Source organism: Homo sapiens, chromosome 3, assembly GCF_000001405.40.
Source record: "Homo sapiens chromosome 3, GRCh38.p14 Primary Assembly".
Classification (NCBI taxonomy): domain Eukaryota; kingdom Metazoa; phylum Chordata; class Mammalia; order Primates; family Hominidae; genus Homo; species Homo sapiens.
The window spans coordinates 180,765,602-180,782,365 of NC_000003.12; the positions used below are offsets into that span (position 1 = coordinate 180,765,602).

At 38.7% G+C, this 16,764-nt stretch overlaps 1 long non-coding RNA gene and 1 pseudogene across 1 annotated transcript in view; both read right to left on the reverse strand.

Moving 5' to 3' along the window:
* Nucleotides 1-16,764, reverse strand: part of LOC101928882 (uncharacterized) — a 162,590-nt gene that overhangs the window by 58,013 nt on the left and 87,813 nt on the right. The window contains exon 4 of the long non-coding RNA NR_109986.1: nucleotides 16,383-16,523. This is a non-coding gene — a long non-coding RNA (uncharacterized LOC101928882). The remainder of the gene's footprint in view (nucleotides 1-16,382; nucleotides 16,524-16,764) is intronic.
* RNF13P1 (RNF13 pseudogene 1) lies at nucleotides 5,118-8,456 on the reverse strand (annotated as a pseudogene).

The following is a 16,764-nucleotide window of genomic DNA, read 5'->3' on the forward strand; positions in this document are numbered from 1 at the left end:
CTTGCTGGATCAGAAGTGCAGCAGACACCCTGCCGGATCCGGAGGGGTGAAAGTCAATGGTGGGTCTGTGAAGGTGGCGATCAGCAGTGGTGGACAGAGAGCAGAAGTTCAGCTCAAGCCAGAACAAACACGGACCAGAAGAGTGTGCAGTTGCAAGATTTAATAGAGTGAAAACAGAGCTCCCATACAATGGGAGGGGACCTAAAGGGGGTTGCCCACTCCCAGCTCAAAGTCCTGGGGTTTATATCCCAATCATTGCCCCTCCCTGTGTGCTCTCAGGCAATATATGATTTGACTACTTCTTTACCTCCTGCTTTTAGCCTAATTTGTATTTTAGTGAGCCCTCTTTACTACCTGATTGGTCAGGTGTGAGCTGAGTTACAAGCCCTGTGTTTAAAGGTGGGTTGCAGTCACCTTCCCCAGCTAGGCTTAGGAATTCTTAGTCAGCCTAGGAAATCCAGCTAGTCCTGTCTCCCATTGGGTCAATTGATGAATCATATGGAAAAAAACAAAATTAGATGCAGACTTCACATCAAATACAAGAATAAAATTCACAAATTATAAAATATAAATATTTTAAAATGTAATTAGACAAAAGAAATGGAATTTACTAGAAGAAAGCATGAGGGAATTCCTCTTTAAACCTCATTGTTAAGAGAGGCTTCCTATGACTCAAAATCCGGTGGCAATTTTTTAAATTGAGAAATGTGAGTACAGTTTTAAAAATAAACATTTTTTGCCAGGCACAGTGGCTCATGCCTATAATCCCAGCACTTTGGGAGGGCAAGGCATGTTAGGGACAGGCCCCCAAATCTGGCCATAAACAGGCCCCAAAACTGGCCATAAGCAGAATCTCTGCAGCACTGTGACATGCTCACAATGACTATGATGCCCACACTGAAGGTTGTTGGTTTACTGGAATGAGGGCAAGGAAACACCTGGCCCACCCAGGGCAGACCACAACAATAGCATGAGTGATCTGTGCCTTAAGGACACATTCCTGCTGCAGATAACTAGCCAGACCCCATCCTTTTGTTTCCCATTTTAGTTAATCTATAATCTATAGAAACACTGCTTATCACTGGCTTGCTGTCAATAAATATGTGGGTAAAACTCTGTTCGTGGCTCTCAGCTCTGAAGGCTGTCAGCCCCCTGATTCCCACTCTGCACTCTGGATTTCTGTGTGTGTGTCTTTAATTCCTCTAGCACTGCTGGGTTAGGTATCGATTGAGCTGGTCTCAGCAAAGGCAGCCAGATCACTTGAGGTCAGGAGTTTGAGACCAGCCTGGTCCAACATGGTAAAACCCCTTCTCTACTAAAAATACAAAAATTAGCTGGGCATGGTGGTGGGCACCTGTAATCCCAAATACTCAGAGGCTGAGGCAGGAGAATTGCTTGAGCCTGGGAGGTGGAGGTTGCAGTGAGCTGAGATTGTGTCACTGCACTCCAGCCTGGGTGACAGAGCAAGGCTCCGTCTCTAAATAAATAGATAGACAGACAGACAGATAGATAGATAGATAGATAGATAGATACCTTTTTATTGCAAGAAATACCATTAGTAACATCAAAAGACAAACAATAAACTAGGGGAAGAAAGAGCACCTTCTGTCCACACTGGAGACTTTCTCTTCCCAGAAAAAAAAAATTTAATTTAATTTAAAAAAGACAACTGACAAACTAGGAAAAAATACTTGCAACATTACTGCAATAGAGATGTTCCTAAGAAACAAAAAAAAAACTTTAAAAATTTTAGAAAAATATTTAGAATATAAGAATTCTTATGACTCAACAATAAAAACACAAACAACCTAATTTTAAAAGCCATTTGAATAACACTTCATTAAAGAAGATATATAGCCCAGGCACAGTAGCTCACACCTGTAATCCCAGCATTTTGGGAGGCCAACACGGGCGAATCATTTGAGCCCAGAAGTTCAAAACCAATCTGGGCAACATGGCAAAACCCTGTCTCTACAAAAAAATACAAAAATTGGCCAGGCTTGGTGCTAAATTTGCAAATTTAAAAAAGAAAATAAAGAAGATATACAGAGGGCAAATAAGTACATGACAAGATGTTAGACATCATTAATCATTGAGAAAATGTAAATTAAAATGCAAAGACCTACCACACATTTACTAGAATTGCTACAATTCAAAAGAATGACAGTATCAAGTCAAGACAGGGATGTAGAGCAACTGGATGTCTCAAACATTATTGGTTAGAATGCAAAATAATACAGTTCATGTGAAAAATAGTTTAACAGTACCTATAAAGTTAAATATATTATATGAACCAGCAATCTCATTTGTAACTATCCAAAATAAATAACAATATGTGACCACACAAAGACCTATGTGGAAATGTTTATGACTTTATTCATAATAGTCAAAAACTAAAAACAGCAACATATAAACATACTGGTAAATGGAGAAACAAATTGTAGTACAACCATGCAATGCAACACTACTCACCAGTAAAAAGGAACAAACCACGAATACATGTAGCATGTATGAATTTCAAAGCATTGTGTTAACTGAAAGAAGCCAGACACAAAAGGCTACATACTTTATGGCCAATTATATGACATTCTGGAAAGACAACAGCATATAGAGAGAAATCAGATCCATGGAAGCTGGGGGTAAAGAGAGGGGATTGTGCAAAGAGGTATGAGGAAATTTTTAACAATAAAAATCTGTTAAAATTTTTAAAAAGAGAAAGGCTAGAATAACCTTTGTAATATTGGAATAAATTTGAAAAATAAAACAGAGGTGGGGAAAGAAAAAGACAAATTAAGCGTTTCTTAGAGACTAATCAGGGCAGGAGGTCAGATGGAAAAGAAGAGATACCTGATGACTGGAGGCTGAGAGGAGATTCCTGGGAGAAGAGATGTCTCATAAGGCTTTTTCTGGAGAAATTCTGAGTTTTTGTGGGTAAAACTTTATTTTGTGTCCCAAAAATCTTCAGGAATAAAAGCAAACGTCTCATTGGCATTGGCTCTATTGGATTTCTTGTGGATGTATTAAGGTTAGCTCCTGACTAAAACAGAGTTAGTTTATGCACATGAACATGGTTAGTCAACATCCTGCTTTTGTTTCAATGTCTCAGATAAAAAAGTTCTTCAAGTCTAAGGTTGCTGAATTGGCCTGGCATTTTTAGCATGCATAATTTTAAAGAGAATGACCATTTTGAAAAGCTATAGTCTTTTATCCTCTTTTATATCAGGTTTATTTTATCAGAGAAATAAAAGTAGAGAGATTTTACTCATTTCAGGGAGTGCCTTAATAGTATTCCAATGTCTATTGTGATGATAAAAGTGAAAAATTAGAGGTAGGAGAAATTGCTAAGAGTGTTATCTACAGCGAAGACTGTTGAGACAAAGTTTGCACGTGACAGATTTTGTTTTCAATTTTAGTTATTTTCTTTTTTCCCCCTCACATTCACTTCATTTCTGGAAAGCAAGTCCTCTCCAAATCTGCTTGACACCAAGTTTTGAACACAGAATTACTTTCTTCTGTTTTATTAAAATAATGTTAATACCTTTAATGCTAAAGTTTTCTTCTTGCTTCATTTGTAAACATAAATAAATACATAAAGTTATGTGTAACTGTATTAGTCCATTTTCATGCTGCTGATAAAGACACACCGGAGACTGGGCAATTTACAAAAGAAAGAGGTTTAATTTGACTTACAGTTCCCCATGGCTGGGGAAGCCTCACAATCATGGCAGAAGGCAAGGAGAAGCAAGTCACATCTTACATGGATGACAGCAGGCAAAGAGAGAGCTTGTGCAGGAAAACTCCCCCTTATCATAACCATCAGATCTTGAGAGACTTACTCTCATGAGAACAGCATGGGAAAAGCCTGCCCTCATGATTCAATTACCTCCCACCAGGTCCCCCCCACGACACGTGGGAATTCAAGATGAGATTTGGGTGGGGACACAGCCAAACCATATCAGTAACTTTAGTAAATTTGCAATTACTGTTTAGGCAAACTATACTTTTAATATTTCAAAATAAACATTTTTATTAACTCTAGTTTTGTAAAAAATGATTACAAAGATATATACTAGATAATATATATAATAGATATATATAATAGATACATACTAGATAATATATATCTACTATATTACAAATCACACAGGTATATATTCTTTTGAAACATGTGTTATATAATTTCAATTATATCTACCCTTTTTCTTTTTTATTTTGATGGAGAAAATCTTTTTTTTTGATATTTATCATCCAAAGGATATTATATTGCTTTACATTCTCAACCCTCTGAACCTTACCCCACTCTTTTTCTTTCCAAATAGCCACATTGTCCTTGGATACATCAAAGAAGTCTGGATATAGCATAAGGCTGATAGATGAGAAACATAAATGAGAGGTTCCAAAAACATGGCACTGTAAGATTAACACAGGTACCACCACTGACCCTCAAAAATAAGACTTCTTTTTTAAATTAAGATTTCCATAACAATTACAACATGTTATAAATAATTATATCAAAAGCCATCTGAATTTATTATTTTACTTATTTCTTTCTTAATCCAATTTAATTTCATAACTCAATTACTTTAGAATGCTGACACTAGGAATTTGCAGTTGAAGAGATAGCACATTTCACCAAAAACAATCTGAGGCTTATAGTTTTTTCAAGCAAAGTTTTTGCATGGAATTTTTATTAGTTCATTTTGTTGAATGTACCTTCTTGAATTTCAGGGGCCATTGGTCATGTGATAGAAAAATCTTTGACCATTGTATTGTAGTCATCACGAACAAATTATTTTATATTTTTATTAAGTGTACTTGTTGCTAAATGATGTGATTTCTTTTTTTTCTTTCCAGCTTTTAGGTTCTAGGGTACATGTGCTGGTTTGTTATATGAGTAAGTTGCATGTCTCTGGTCTGGTGTACAAATTACTTTGACACCCAGGTAGTGAGCATAGTACCAAATAGATAGCTTTTCAATTCTCATCTACCTCCCACCCTCCACCCGCAGGTAGGTTCTGGTGTCTATTTTTCCTTTCTTTGTGTCCATGTGCACTCAATGTTTAGCTCCCACTAATAAGTGCGAACATGCAGTATTTGGTTTTCTGTTGTTAATTTTTTTAACTGGATCTTAAAGTGGAAAACATGTTTATTAACATTCAAACTCCCCTCATACAAGGCCATATAAAAATTCTTAGTATTTTGATTATACATTAGTCTACATTTTCTACATAGTTACAATGATGACATCATTAGTTCTGTTAAACATAAGTCACTTACTTTCAAATCCAATACTTGAATAATTTCCTCTGTACACAGTTTAGCAGGGCTAATTAGCATAAGATGCCATTTATTAAGAGGTATATGATCTGAGTATTAACAGTTGCTGAGGTTTGGTATTTTTATGCAGCATTTTCTTTTTGCTTTGATAACAATACCACAAAACTCTTAAGGATACTGAAATTTAGTAAGTAAAGTTCAGAGACATTACTTTAGCTGTTGAGTCAAATCTCTACATAACACTATAATAATTAAAACGTTAAAAAAAAAAAAAAGAAGTGTTGAAATCTGCACTAGTATAGACTGCTCCTGTCAGGATAAGACTCTTTGGAACAGAAAGGGAAAAGACAGCTTTGAGTTTCTTTGTGCTGATAGGAGGAAAGGCACTGAATTACCTTGTTGCCTCTCACCAATGATGGAAGGTCGGGTAAATGCCAGAACATATTCCAACTCAACAACTCTAGGTAACTTTGTGGAGGTGGAAGCTGGGTTATTTCATGCTAGGTGGCTGTAGCACTAACCTCATGTATAAAATGCAAAACACTTAAATACTGTGATCTAGATCTTAATTGCAAGCTATGCTGAGGACTTTTTGTTGTTGTTGTTTTGGCTATACTTTCATTCCAAAAGAAGAGCTGAATTGATGCTTGAGTTATAGCACCAGTCTATTATTATTAGTGAAGAAGTACACTCTTGCAGATAAATACCATATCAAAAGTCCTTTTTCAGTAATTTGATTAAATTTTAGAGTACTAAAAAATAAGTTATTTCTAGAGAAATCTTTGAAGGGAGCAAAAAAAAATCATATTACAGTATATACCTAAATATTTTAAAGGGAAATAAACCAATCATCTTCTGAAATTCAAACAGTATTTGCTATGTATCAGGGGAACCCACCCCCAATATTTCAGCATAGGTTCTTTCTGTTTCCCATAAGTGTTGACCGGCTGAGAAATAAAGAGAGACAGTATAAAGAGAGGAATTTTACAGCTGGGCCGCCTGGGGTGACATCACATATCAGTAGGACCATGATGCCCATCTGAGCCTCAAAACCAGCAAGTTTTTATTAAGGGTTTGAAAAGGGGAGGGGGTGTAAGCACAGGGAGTAGGTACAAAGATCACATGCTTCAAAGGACAAAAAGCAGAACTACTTATAAGGGTCTATGTTCAGCGGTGCACATATTGTCTTGATAAACATTTTAAACAACATAAAACAGGGTTCAAGAGCAGAGAACCAGTCTGACCACAAATTTACCAGGGCAGAGTTTTTCCCCACCCTGGTAAGCCTGAGGGTACTGCAGGAGACCAGGGCTTATCTCAGTCCTTATCTCAACTGCATAAGACAGACATTCCCAGAGGGGCCATTTATAGACCTCCCCCCAGGAATGTATTCCTTTCCCACGTTATTAATATTAACATTCCTTGCTAGGAAAAGAATTTAGTGATATCTTCCCTACTTGCACATCCATTTATAGGCTCTCTGCAAGAAGAAATATATGGCTCTTTTTGCCCGACCCCACAGGCAATCAGACCTTATTGTTGTCTTTCCTTGTTCCCCAAAAATCACTGTTTTTCTGTTTTTTTTCAAGGTGCACTGATTTCATATTGTTCAAACACACGTTTTACAATCAGTTTGTACAGTTAACACAATTACCACAGTGGTCCTGAGGTGATGTACATCCTCAACTTATGAAGATAACAGGATTAAGAGATTAAAATAAAGACATGTGTAAGAAATTATAAAAGTATTATTTGGGAACTGATAAATGTCCACATTAAAATGAAATCTTCACAATTTATGTTCCTCTGCTGCATCTCCAGCTGGTCCCTCTGTTCGGGGTCCCTGACTTCCTGCAACAGCTATGTTCATTCACCATTAGGCTGCAACTGGACCGCAACATTATGTTCATTAGTTTCATTTTCTTCATCACTACTGTTGTTATCTTCATTGTCATCTTCCTCATAGTCTGAAGATTCGGTCATGTTCTGATGTGAGCGGGATTCTGACAAAGCCCCAAATGACTGGGCAATGACAGAAGCTAAAGGTCTAAGTAAAGGGTCACTTCATTTTATTCTTGACTACCATCTGTGTCAGAGTCTGGATTGCCTTGAGAAGGAAATTTTTGCTTGCACACAGGACAGGTTTTTTTGGTTTTAGTTAGCCAAGGGTCTACACACTTGCAGTGATAAGCATGGGAACAGGGAAGGATTCTGAGCTTGTCTCCATCTTCCTACTCATCTGAACAAATGGCACATACATCATACTCATCTCCTTTCTTGAATTTATGTACAGGGAGTTTCTTAAGTTGATCTTTACAAAGTCTGTTTCTTCTAGCTCTATGTCTATCCTGGAAAAATTTTGTGATCCAATAGAAATGAAAGCATATTTCCATATAACAAATGTCCATATCAGCTTTATTTGTAATAGCCAAAAACATGAAAATGACTATCAAGATGAGACAGATACTCACTATGATAAGGAAGGGAATTAGGCAGCATTCCAAAGGAAGACTAAATTCTGGAACTAAGATAAGGTGGTCCCCTTTTTCATACATGAATTCATCTTTCAGAGAATTAGCTGATGATTCACCAATAGAGACAGATAGAATGTCAATTTTCTTTAGTACCTCAATGTCATTGGATCCAATGTTAATGAGGTCATCAGAATCAACATTGTGAACTATGGCTGCTTTGTATTCTGCTCTCTGTGCATTTAAAATCTTTATATCAAAATTACAATCAAGTCTTCTAATTAACACAATGAAAGTGCCAGACAAATTGTTTTTTACTGGTGGAGGCACTCTGCGTTCACAGGCATTCTCTGGTTTTGATCAAAAAACCCTTTAAACCTTCAGCTGGAAGTCTATAACCAAATCTTGCAGGGAGGTCACCAAAGGACTGAGATGTATTTTCAAAGTTATATGCTAAAATGTCTGCTTCTACAGGCAGTAGGTTTAAGAATGCAAAGAGCTGGACAGCCAAGATGGTGTAGACTTGTGTGGCTGACAGCATAAGCATCCCTATGGAGAGCAGCATCTCGAAAAATCACCTGGAAGTCCAGCCCCTGGAACACAACCAGTCCTGCTGGCCACATCGCAGGAGAAGTCCCTACCCTGACTTCATGACTGAATATCTGCACTGACCCCAAAGCCCGGAGTAGGAGCAGGGACAACACCACCATTTGTGTTATTTTGTTAAGATAATGGCCTCTAGCTGCATCTTGCAAATGACATGATTTTTTTCTTTTTTATGGCTGTGTAGCATTCCATGGTGCATATGTACCACATTTTCTTTATCCAGTCCCCCACTGATGGGCATCTAGGTGGATTCCATGTCTGTGCTTTTGTGAAGAGTGCTGCAATAAGCACATGCCTGTGTCTTTTTGGTAGAACAGTTTATATTCTTTTGGGTATATACCCAAAAATTGGATTGTTGGGTCAAATGGTAATTCTGCTTTGAGCTCTTTGAAAATTCACCACACTGTTTTCCAAAGTGGCTAGGAACTAATTTACATTCTCACTAGTAGTGTATAAACTTTCCCATTTCACTGAAAACTCACCAATATCTTTAATTTTTGACTTTTTAGTAATAGCCATTCTGACTGGTGTGAGATGGTATCTCATTGTGGTTTTGATTTTCATTTCTCTGATGATTAGTGATGTCGAGCATTTTTTCATATGGTTGGCCACATGTATGTCTTCTTTTGAGAAGTGTCTGTCCATGTCCTTTGCCCATTTTTTAATAAGACTGTTTTTTTGCTTGCTGATTTAAGTTCCTTATGGATTCTGAATATTATACCTTTGTCAGAGGAATAGTTTGCAAATATTTTCTCCCATGCTGTAGGATGTCTGTTTATTTTATTGATAGTTTCTTTTGCTGTGAAGAAGCTCTTTAGTTTAATTAGATCCCATTGTCATTTTTTTGTTTTTGTTGCAATTGCTTTTGGAGTCTTTACCATGAAATTTTTGCAAGGGCCTATGTCCAGAATGGTATTTCCTAGGTTTTCTTCTAGAGTTTTTATAGCTTTATGTTTTACATTTAAGTATTTAATCCATCTTGAGTTAATTTTCATATATAACATAAGGAAGGGGTCCAGTTTTAATCTTCTGCATATGGCTAGCCAGTTATCCCAGCATTTATTGACTAGGAATTCCTTTCCCCATTGATTATTGTTGTCATCTTTGTCAAAGATCAGATCATTGTAGGTATACAGCTTTATTTCTGGGTTCTCGCACTTGTTTCTTTGGTCTATGCATCTGTTTTTGTACCATTACCATGAGTTTTGATTACTGTAGCTTTATAGTATACTTTGATATCAGGTAGTGTGATGCCTTTGGTTTTGGTTTTGGGTGGGTTTTTTTTTGTTTGTTTTTTTGTTTGTTTTTGCTTAGGATTGCTTTGGCTATTCAGGCTCTTTTTTGGTTCTATGTGTATTTTGAAATAGTTTTTTTCTAATTCTGTAAAAAATGTCATTGGTAGTTTAATAGGAATAGCATTGAACTGTACATTGCTTTGGGCAGTGTATTAGTCCATTTCCATGCTGCTGATAAAGACATATCTGAGACTGGATAATTTATAAAGAAAAAGAGGTTTAATGGACTCAGAGTTCTATGTGGCTGGAGAGGCCTCAAAATTATGGAAGAAGGCAAAAGGCAAGTCTTACATGGCAGCAGCAAGAGAAAATGAGAGCCAAGCAAAAGGGGAAAACAGTTATAAAACTATTAGATCTTGTGAGACTTATTCACTACCATGAGAACAGTATGGAGAAAACTGCCCCTGTGATTCAATTATCTACAACTGAGTCCCTCCCACAACACATGGGAATTATGGGAGCTACAATTCAAGATGAGATTTGGGTGGGGACACAGCTACACCAACTCATTCCACTGCTGGCCCCTCCTAAATCTCATGCCCTCACATTTCAAAGCCAATCATGCCTTCCCAACAGTCCCCCAAAGCCTTAACTCATTTCAGCATTAACTCAAAAGTCCACAGTCCAAAGTCTTATCTGAGACAAGGCAAGTCTCTTCTGCCTATGAGCCTATAAAATCAAAAGCAAGTTTAGTTACTCCCTAGATACAATGGGGGTACAGGCATTGAATAAATACACTCATTCCAAATGGGAGAAATTGGCCAAAACAAAGGGGCTAAAGGACTCATGCAGTCTGAAATCCAGTGGGGCAATGAAATCTTAAAGTCCAAAATGATCTCCTTTGACTCCGTGTCTCACATCTGGGTCATGCTGATGCAAGAGGTGGGTTCCCATGGTCTTGGGCAGCTCCACCCCTGTGGCTTTGCAGGGTATAGCCTCCCACCCAGCTGATTTCACGAGCTGACGTTGAGAGTCAGTGGCTTTTCCAGGTGCATGATGCAAGCTGTCAGTGGATCTACCATTCTGGGGTCTGAAGGATGATGGCCCTCTTCTCACAGCTCTGCTAGCCAGTGCCCCAGTGGGGACTCTGTGTGGGGGCTTCAAGCTCACATTTGCCTTCTGCATTGCCCTAGCAGAGGTTCTCCATGAGGGCCCTGCCCCTTCAGCAAACTTCTGCCTGGACTTCCAAGCATTTCTATACATCCTCTGAAATCTAGATAGAAGTTCCCAAATCTCAATTCTTGACCTCTGTGCACCCGCAGGCTCAACACCACATGGAAGCTGCCAAGACTTGGGGCTTGCATCCTCTGAAGCCACAGACCGAGCTGTACCTTGGCCCCTGTTAGCCATGGCCAGAGTGGCTGGGATGCAGGGCACAAAGTCCCTAGGCTGCACACACCTGGGGGGCCCTGGGCTAAGCAAAGGAAACCATTTTATCCTCCTCGGCCTCTGGGCCTGTGATGATAGGGTAGACCATGAATGCCCTATGACATGCCCTGGCGACATTTTCCCCATTGTCTTGGTGATTAACATCTGGCTCCTCATTACTTATGCAAATTTCTATAGCTGGTTGAATTTCTCAGAAAATAGGTTTTTCTTTTCCTCTACATCATCAGGCTACAAATTTTCCAAACTTGTATGATCTGTTTCCCTTTTAAAACTGAATGCTTTTAACAGCACTCAAATCACCTCTTGAATGCTATGCTGCTTAGAAATTTCTTCCACCAGATACCCTAAATCATCTCCCTCAAGTTCAAAGTTTCACAAATCTCTAGGGCAGGTGCAAAATGTCACTAGTCTTTTTGCTAAAACATAGCAAGAGTCACCTTTACTCCAGTTCCCAACAAGTTCCTCATCACCATCTGAGACTACCTCAGCCTGGATTTCATTGTCCATGTCATTATATGCATTTCAGTCAAAGCCATTCAACAAGTCTCTAGGGAGTTCCAAACTTTCCCACATTTTCCTGTCTTCTTCTGAGCCCCCCACACTGTTCCAACCTGTGCCTGTTACCCAGTTCCAAAGATGCTCTCACATTTTCAGGTTTCTTTACAGCAGTGCCCCACTCCTGGTACCAATTTACTGTATTAGTTCATTTTCACACTGCTGATAAAGACATACCTGAGACTGGGTAATTTATAAAGAAAAAGAGTTTCAATGGACTGACAGTTCCACGTGGCTGGGGAGGTGTTATAATCACAGTGGAAGGCAAAAGGCACATCTTACATGGTGGCAGGCAAGAGTGAATGAGAGCCATGTGAAAGGGGAAATCCCTTATAAAACCATCAGATCTTGTGAGACTTATTCACTACCATGAGAACAGTCTGAGAGAAACTGCCCCCATGATTTAATTATCTCCCACCACGTTCCTCCCACAACACATGGGAATTAAGCAAGCTACAATTCAAGATGAGATTTGGGTGGGGACACAGTCAAACTATATTAGGCAGTATAACCATTTTAACAATATTGAATCTTCCTGTACATGAGCATGGAATTTTTTTTATTTGTTTGTGTTGTCTCTGATTTCTTTCAGCAGTGTTATGTAATTCTCATTGTAAGATACTTCACTTCTCTGGCTAGCTATATTTCTAAGTATTTTATTCTTTTTGTGGCTATTGTGAATAGGACTGTGTTCTTCACTTGGCACTCAGCTTGGATGTTATTCGTGTATAGAAATGCTACAGATTTTTGTACAATGACTTTGTATCTAGAAACTTCACTGAAGTTGTTTGTCAGATCTAGGAGCCTTAGGGCAAAGGCTATGGTATTTTCTAGGTATAGAATCATATCATCTGTAAACAAAAATAGTTTGGCTTTCTCTCTTCCTGTTTGGATGCCTTTTATTTCTTTCTCTTGCCTGATTGCTCTGGCTAGGAATCTGGTACTATGTTGAATAGGAGTAGTGAAAATGGGCATCTTTGTCTTGTTCCAGTTCTCAAGGGGAATGCTTCTAGATTTTGCCCATTCAGTGTGACGTCAGTTGTGGGTTGGTCATAGATGGCTCATTTTGAGGTATGCCTAGTTTATTGAGGATTTTTAACATGAAAGAATGTTGGATTTTATCAAAAGCCTTTTCTGCATTTACTAAGATGATCATATGGTTTTTGGTTTTAGTTCTGGTTATCTGATTAATCACATTTATTGATTTGTGTATGTTAAACCATCCTTGAATTCCAGGAATAAAGCCTGCTTGATCATGGTGGACTAGTTTTTTGACATGCTGCTGGACTTGGTTTTCTAGTATTTTGTTGAGAAAGTTTCCATCTAAGCTTATCAGGAATATTGGCCTAAAGTTTTCTTTTTTTGCATGTCTCTACCAGGCTTTGGTATCAGCATGATGCTGGCCTCATAGAATGCATTAGGGAGGAGACCCTCCTCCTCAATTATTTGGAATAGTTTCAGTAGGATTGGTACCAGCTCTTCTTTCTATGTCTAGTAGAATTCAGCTGTGAATCCATCTAGTCTAGGATCTTTTCTGGTTGGAAGGATTTTTATTACTGATTCAATTTCATAATTCCTTATTGATCTGTTCAGGGTTTCAATTTCTTCTTGGTTCAATCTTAGGAGGCTGTACATTTCCAGGAATTTATTCATTTCTTCTAGGTTTTCTAGTTTGTGTGCATAGAGGTGTTCCTAATAGTTTCCAAGGGTTTTTTACTTCTATAGGGTCAGTGGTAATGTCCCCTTTGTCATTTCTGAGTGCATTTGTTTGGGTCTTCCCTTTTTTTCATTAATCTAGCTAGTAGTCTATCAATATTATTTATTCTTTCAAGAACCAACTGTTGCCTTCATTGGTCTTTTGTATGGATTTTTATGTCTCCATTTCATTCAGTTCAGCTCTGATTTTGGTTATTTCTTTTCTCCTACTAGCTTTGGGATTGGTTTGCTCTTGTTTTTCTAGTTCCTGTAGGTGATGCTAGGTTGTTAACTTGAGATCTTCCTTTTTTGATGTGGATGATTAGTGCTATAAACTTTCCTCTTAACCCTGTTTACAACAGATGAGTTTAGGTCCCAAATATCTGTTTTAGATCTTAAATATCTTTAATAATTTTCTGCCTCACTGATCTAATACTGTCACTGGGGTGTTGAAGTCTCCTACTACCATTGAGTGGTTATCTAAATCTCTTTGTAGGTCTCTAAGAACTTGATTTATGAATCTGGATGCTCCAGTGTTGGGTGCATATATACTTAAGATAGTGAAGTCTTCTTGTTGAGTTGAACCCTTTATCATTATGCAATGCCCTTCTTTGTCCTTTTTGATTATTATTGGTTTAAAGTCTATTTCATCTGAAATAAAAATAGCAACTCCTGATCTTTTCTGTTTTCATTTTCTTGATAGATCTTTTCCATCTCTTTACTTTGAGCTTATGGGTGTCATTGCACATGAGATGGGTCTCTTGAAGACAGCATACAGTTGGTCCTTGCTTCTTCATCCAACTTGCCACTCTGTGCCTTTTAAGTGGGACATTTATCTTGTTTACAATTAAGGTTAATATTGATATGTTATGGATTTGATCCTATTATATTGGCTTTTGGTTTCTGTGTAGACTTGATTATAGTTGCTTTATAGTGTCAATGGTCTATTTACTTAAGTGTGTTTTTGTGCTGGCCAGTAATGGTCTTTTTGTTTCCATGTTTAGCATTCCTTTAAGAACTTCTTATAAGGCAAGTTTAGTGGTGATGAATTCCCTTAGCATTTGCTTGTCTGAAAATGATTTTATTTCTCCTTCACTTATGAAGCTTAGTTTGGCTGGATATGAAATTCTTGGTTGGAATTGATTGTCTTTAAGGATGCTAAATACAGGTCCCTAATCTCTTCTGGCTTATAGAGTTTCTGCTAAAAGTCTGCTGTTAGTCTGATGGGGTTCTCTTTGAAGGTGACCTGCCCCCTCTTTCTAGCTGCCTTTAATATTTTTCCTTTAACTTTGACCTTGTAGAATCTGATGACCATTTCCTTGGGGATAGTCATCCTGGATAGTATCTTGATGGGTTCTCTGAATTTCCTGAATTTGAATGTGAATATGTCTAGCAAGGTTGGTGAAATTTGCATGGTTAATATTCTTAAGTATGTTTTCCAAATTGCTTGCTCTCTCTCCTTCAGGGATGCCAATAAGTCATAGGTTTGGTCTCTTCACAAAATCTCATCTTTCTCAGAGATTCTGTTCATTTTTTAAAATTCTTTTTTCTGTGTTTTGAAATGACTGAGTTGATTCAAAGAATTGGTATTCAGGCTCTGAGATTCTTTCCTCAGCTTAGTCTATTGTGCTGTTAGTATTAGGTTGGTGCAACAGTAATTGTGGTTTTTGCTATTTAAAAGTAATGACAAAAACTGCAATTACTTTTGCACCAACTAATACTTCTAATTGTATTAAGAAATTCTTTAGTGAGTTTTTCAACTCTATCAAATCAATTTGATTCTTTTCTAAAATGGCTATTTTGTCTTTCAGCTCTTGAATCCTTTTACTGGATTTCTTAGATTCCTTAGATTGGGTTTCAACTTTCTCCTGAATTTCGATGATCTTCATTGCCATCCAGATTTTGAATTCTATGTCTGTCATTTCAGCCATTTAATTCTGGTTAAGAACCACTGCTGGGAAGCTAATGCAGTCATTTGGAGGTAAGAAGACACTGGCTTTTTGAGTTGCCAGAGATCTTGTGCTGGTTCCTTCTCATCTGTGTGAGCTGATGTTTCCTTAATCTTTGAAGTTGCCATTCTTCCAATAGGGCTTTTTGCTTTTGTATTCTTTGATGCCCTTGAGGGTTTGACTGTGGTATAAGTTGGGTTTAGTTCACTGGCTTTATTTCTTAATAATTTCAGTGGGCCAAGGCTCTCAGCATTCGTGGGCTGTGTGCTCTAACCCTGGGGGCTGAGACCAGGCCCACAGCTTTGTTCTCTGCCTCCTTGAGGTTAAGTACCTGCTGTGCTAAAGGATCTGAGATGTCCCTGCTGGCAACACCACTCTGATGCAGGGGATGCCTGCAAAAGCACTTCATTGAGGGGGTGGCAATAGGGTCAAAGCACATGCAGACAACAGCATGGCAGCAGCGGGGTGGTGGACTGTGCACATGCATGCGCTAGTGGTAGGACAGCAGCAGTGCAGTTCACACACGCATGTGCATACACCAGCAAAGTGCTGGGGGAAGGCTGCAAGCAGATGCACACTGGCTGGAGTCCATCTGCAAAAGCTCTCTGATGGTTAGGCAGTGTCTACCAGCAAAAGAGCTATGGTGGTGGCCACTGAGAAGCACCCCAGTTAGGTATCTGAGGCTGTGTTGCAAGTGGGTGCAGCCACACATGAACCCTGGGAGAGGCTAGCAGACAAGAGACACTCAAATCAGACTGGCCCTGTCCCATGTGGCAAGATAGACCTGTTCTGTCCAGGTCCAACAGTCAACAAAGGCCAAAGCTACCTGAAGGAGCAAGGGAAGCCTTGGGGAATGGGTGTCCCTGTCCATGTTCTACTGCAGCTATTCCTGAGCCAAACTATGAGCTCCATGCAGGCTGGATTCCTGTTCCCGCCAACTCTCCAAGCAGCTCTCCCTTCCAGCTCAAATGTTCATGGGGCTATAAAGTCTCCTGCAGCTAGGATTCTAGAGGTCTTTGGTGAGAAGGGGCCACTCCATACCTATTTAACTCACATTTTCCCCAGGAGCTACTCGGGATCAGAAACGAGATCTAGTGCTCAGTAACCCAATGCAGGTTTCCCAGCTTCTTCACCCTTCAGCTTACCATCTGCATCGTCCTCTGTCCACATTCAAGGCCTTCCTTTCAACAACCTGCTTGGAGGGTGCCAACTTTCTTGCTGGTCTGGTCTTCCGGTGGGAGAAGCTCTTCCTGGCTGTGTCTAGTCGGCTCCTCTTTTTGATTACTCTGAATTTAAAACATAGTTTTGATTAGAAAATGGAATCCTTCATTTAGAGTAGTTACAAAATTTTCAGTTTATAGACCTCCATTTAGGGATAGTTGTAAATATTTCAATTTATAGATAAAAAACAGAAAGTATAGAGTGACTAATAGACAACTAGGATTTACACTTACAGCTTTGCACTCCATCTCCTGTAAATTTTGGAGTTTCAGCTTTTCATAAACATTTACTAGTGCCCTCTGGTGA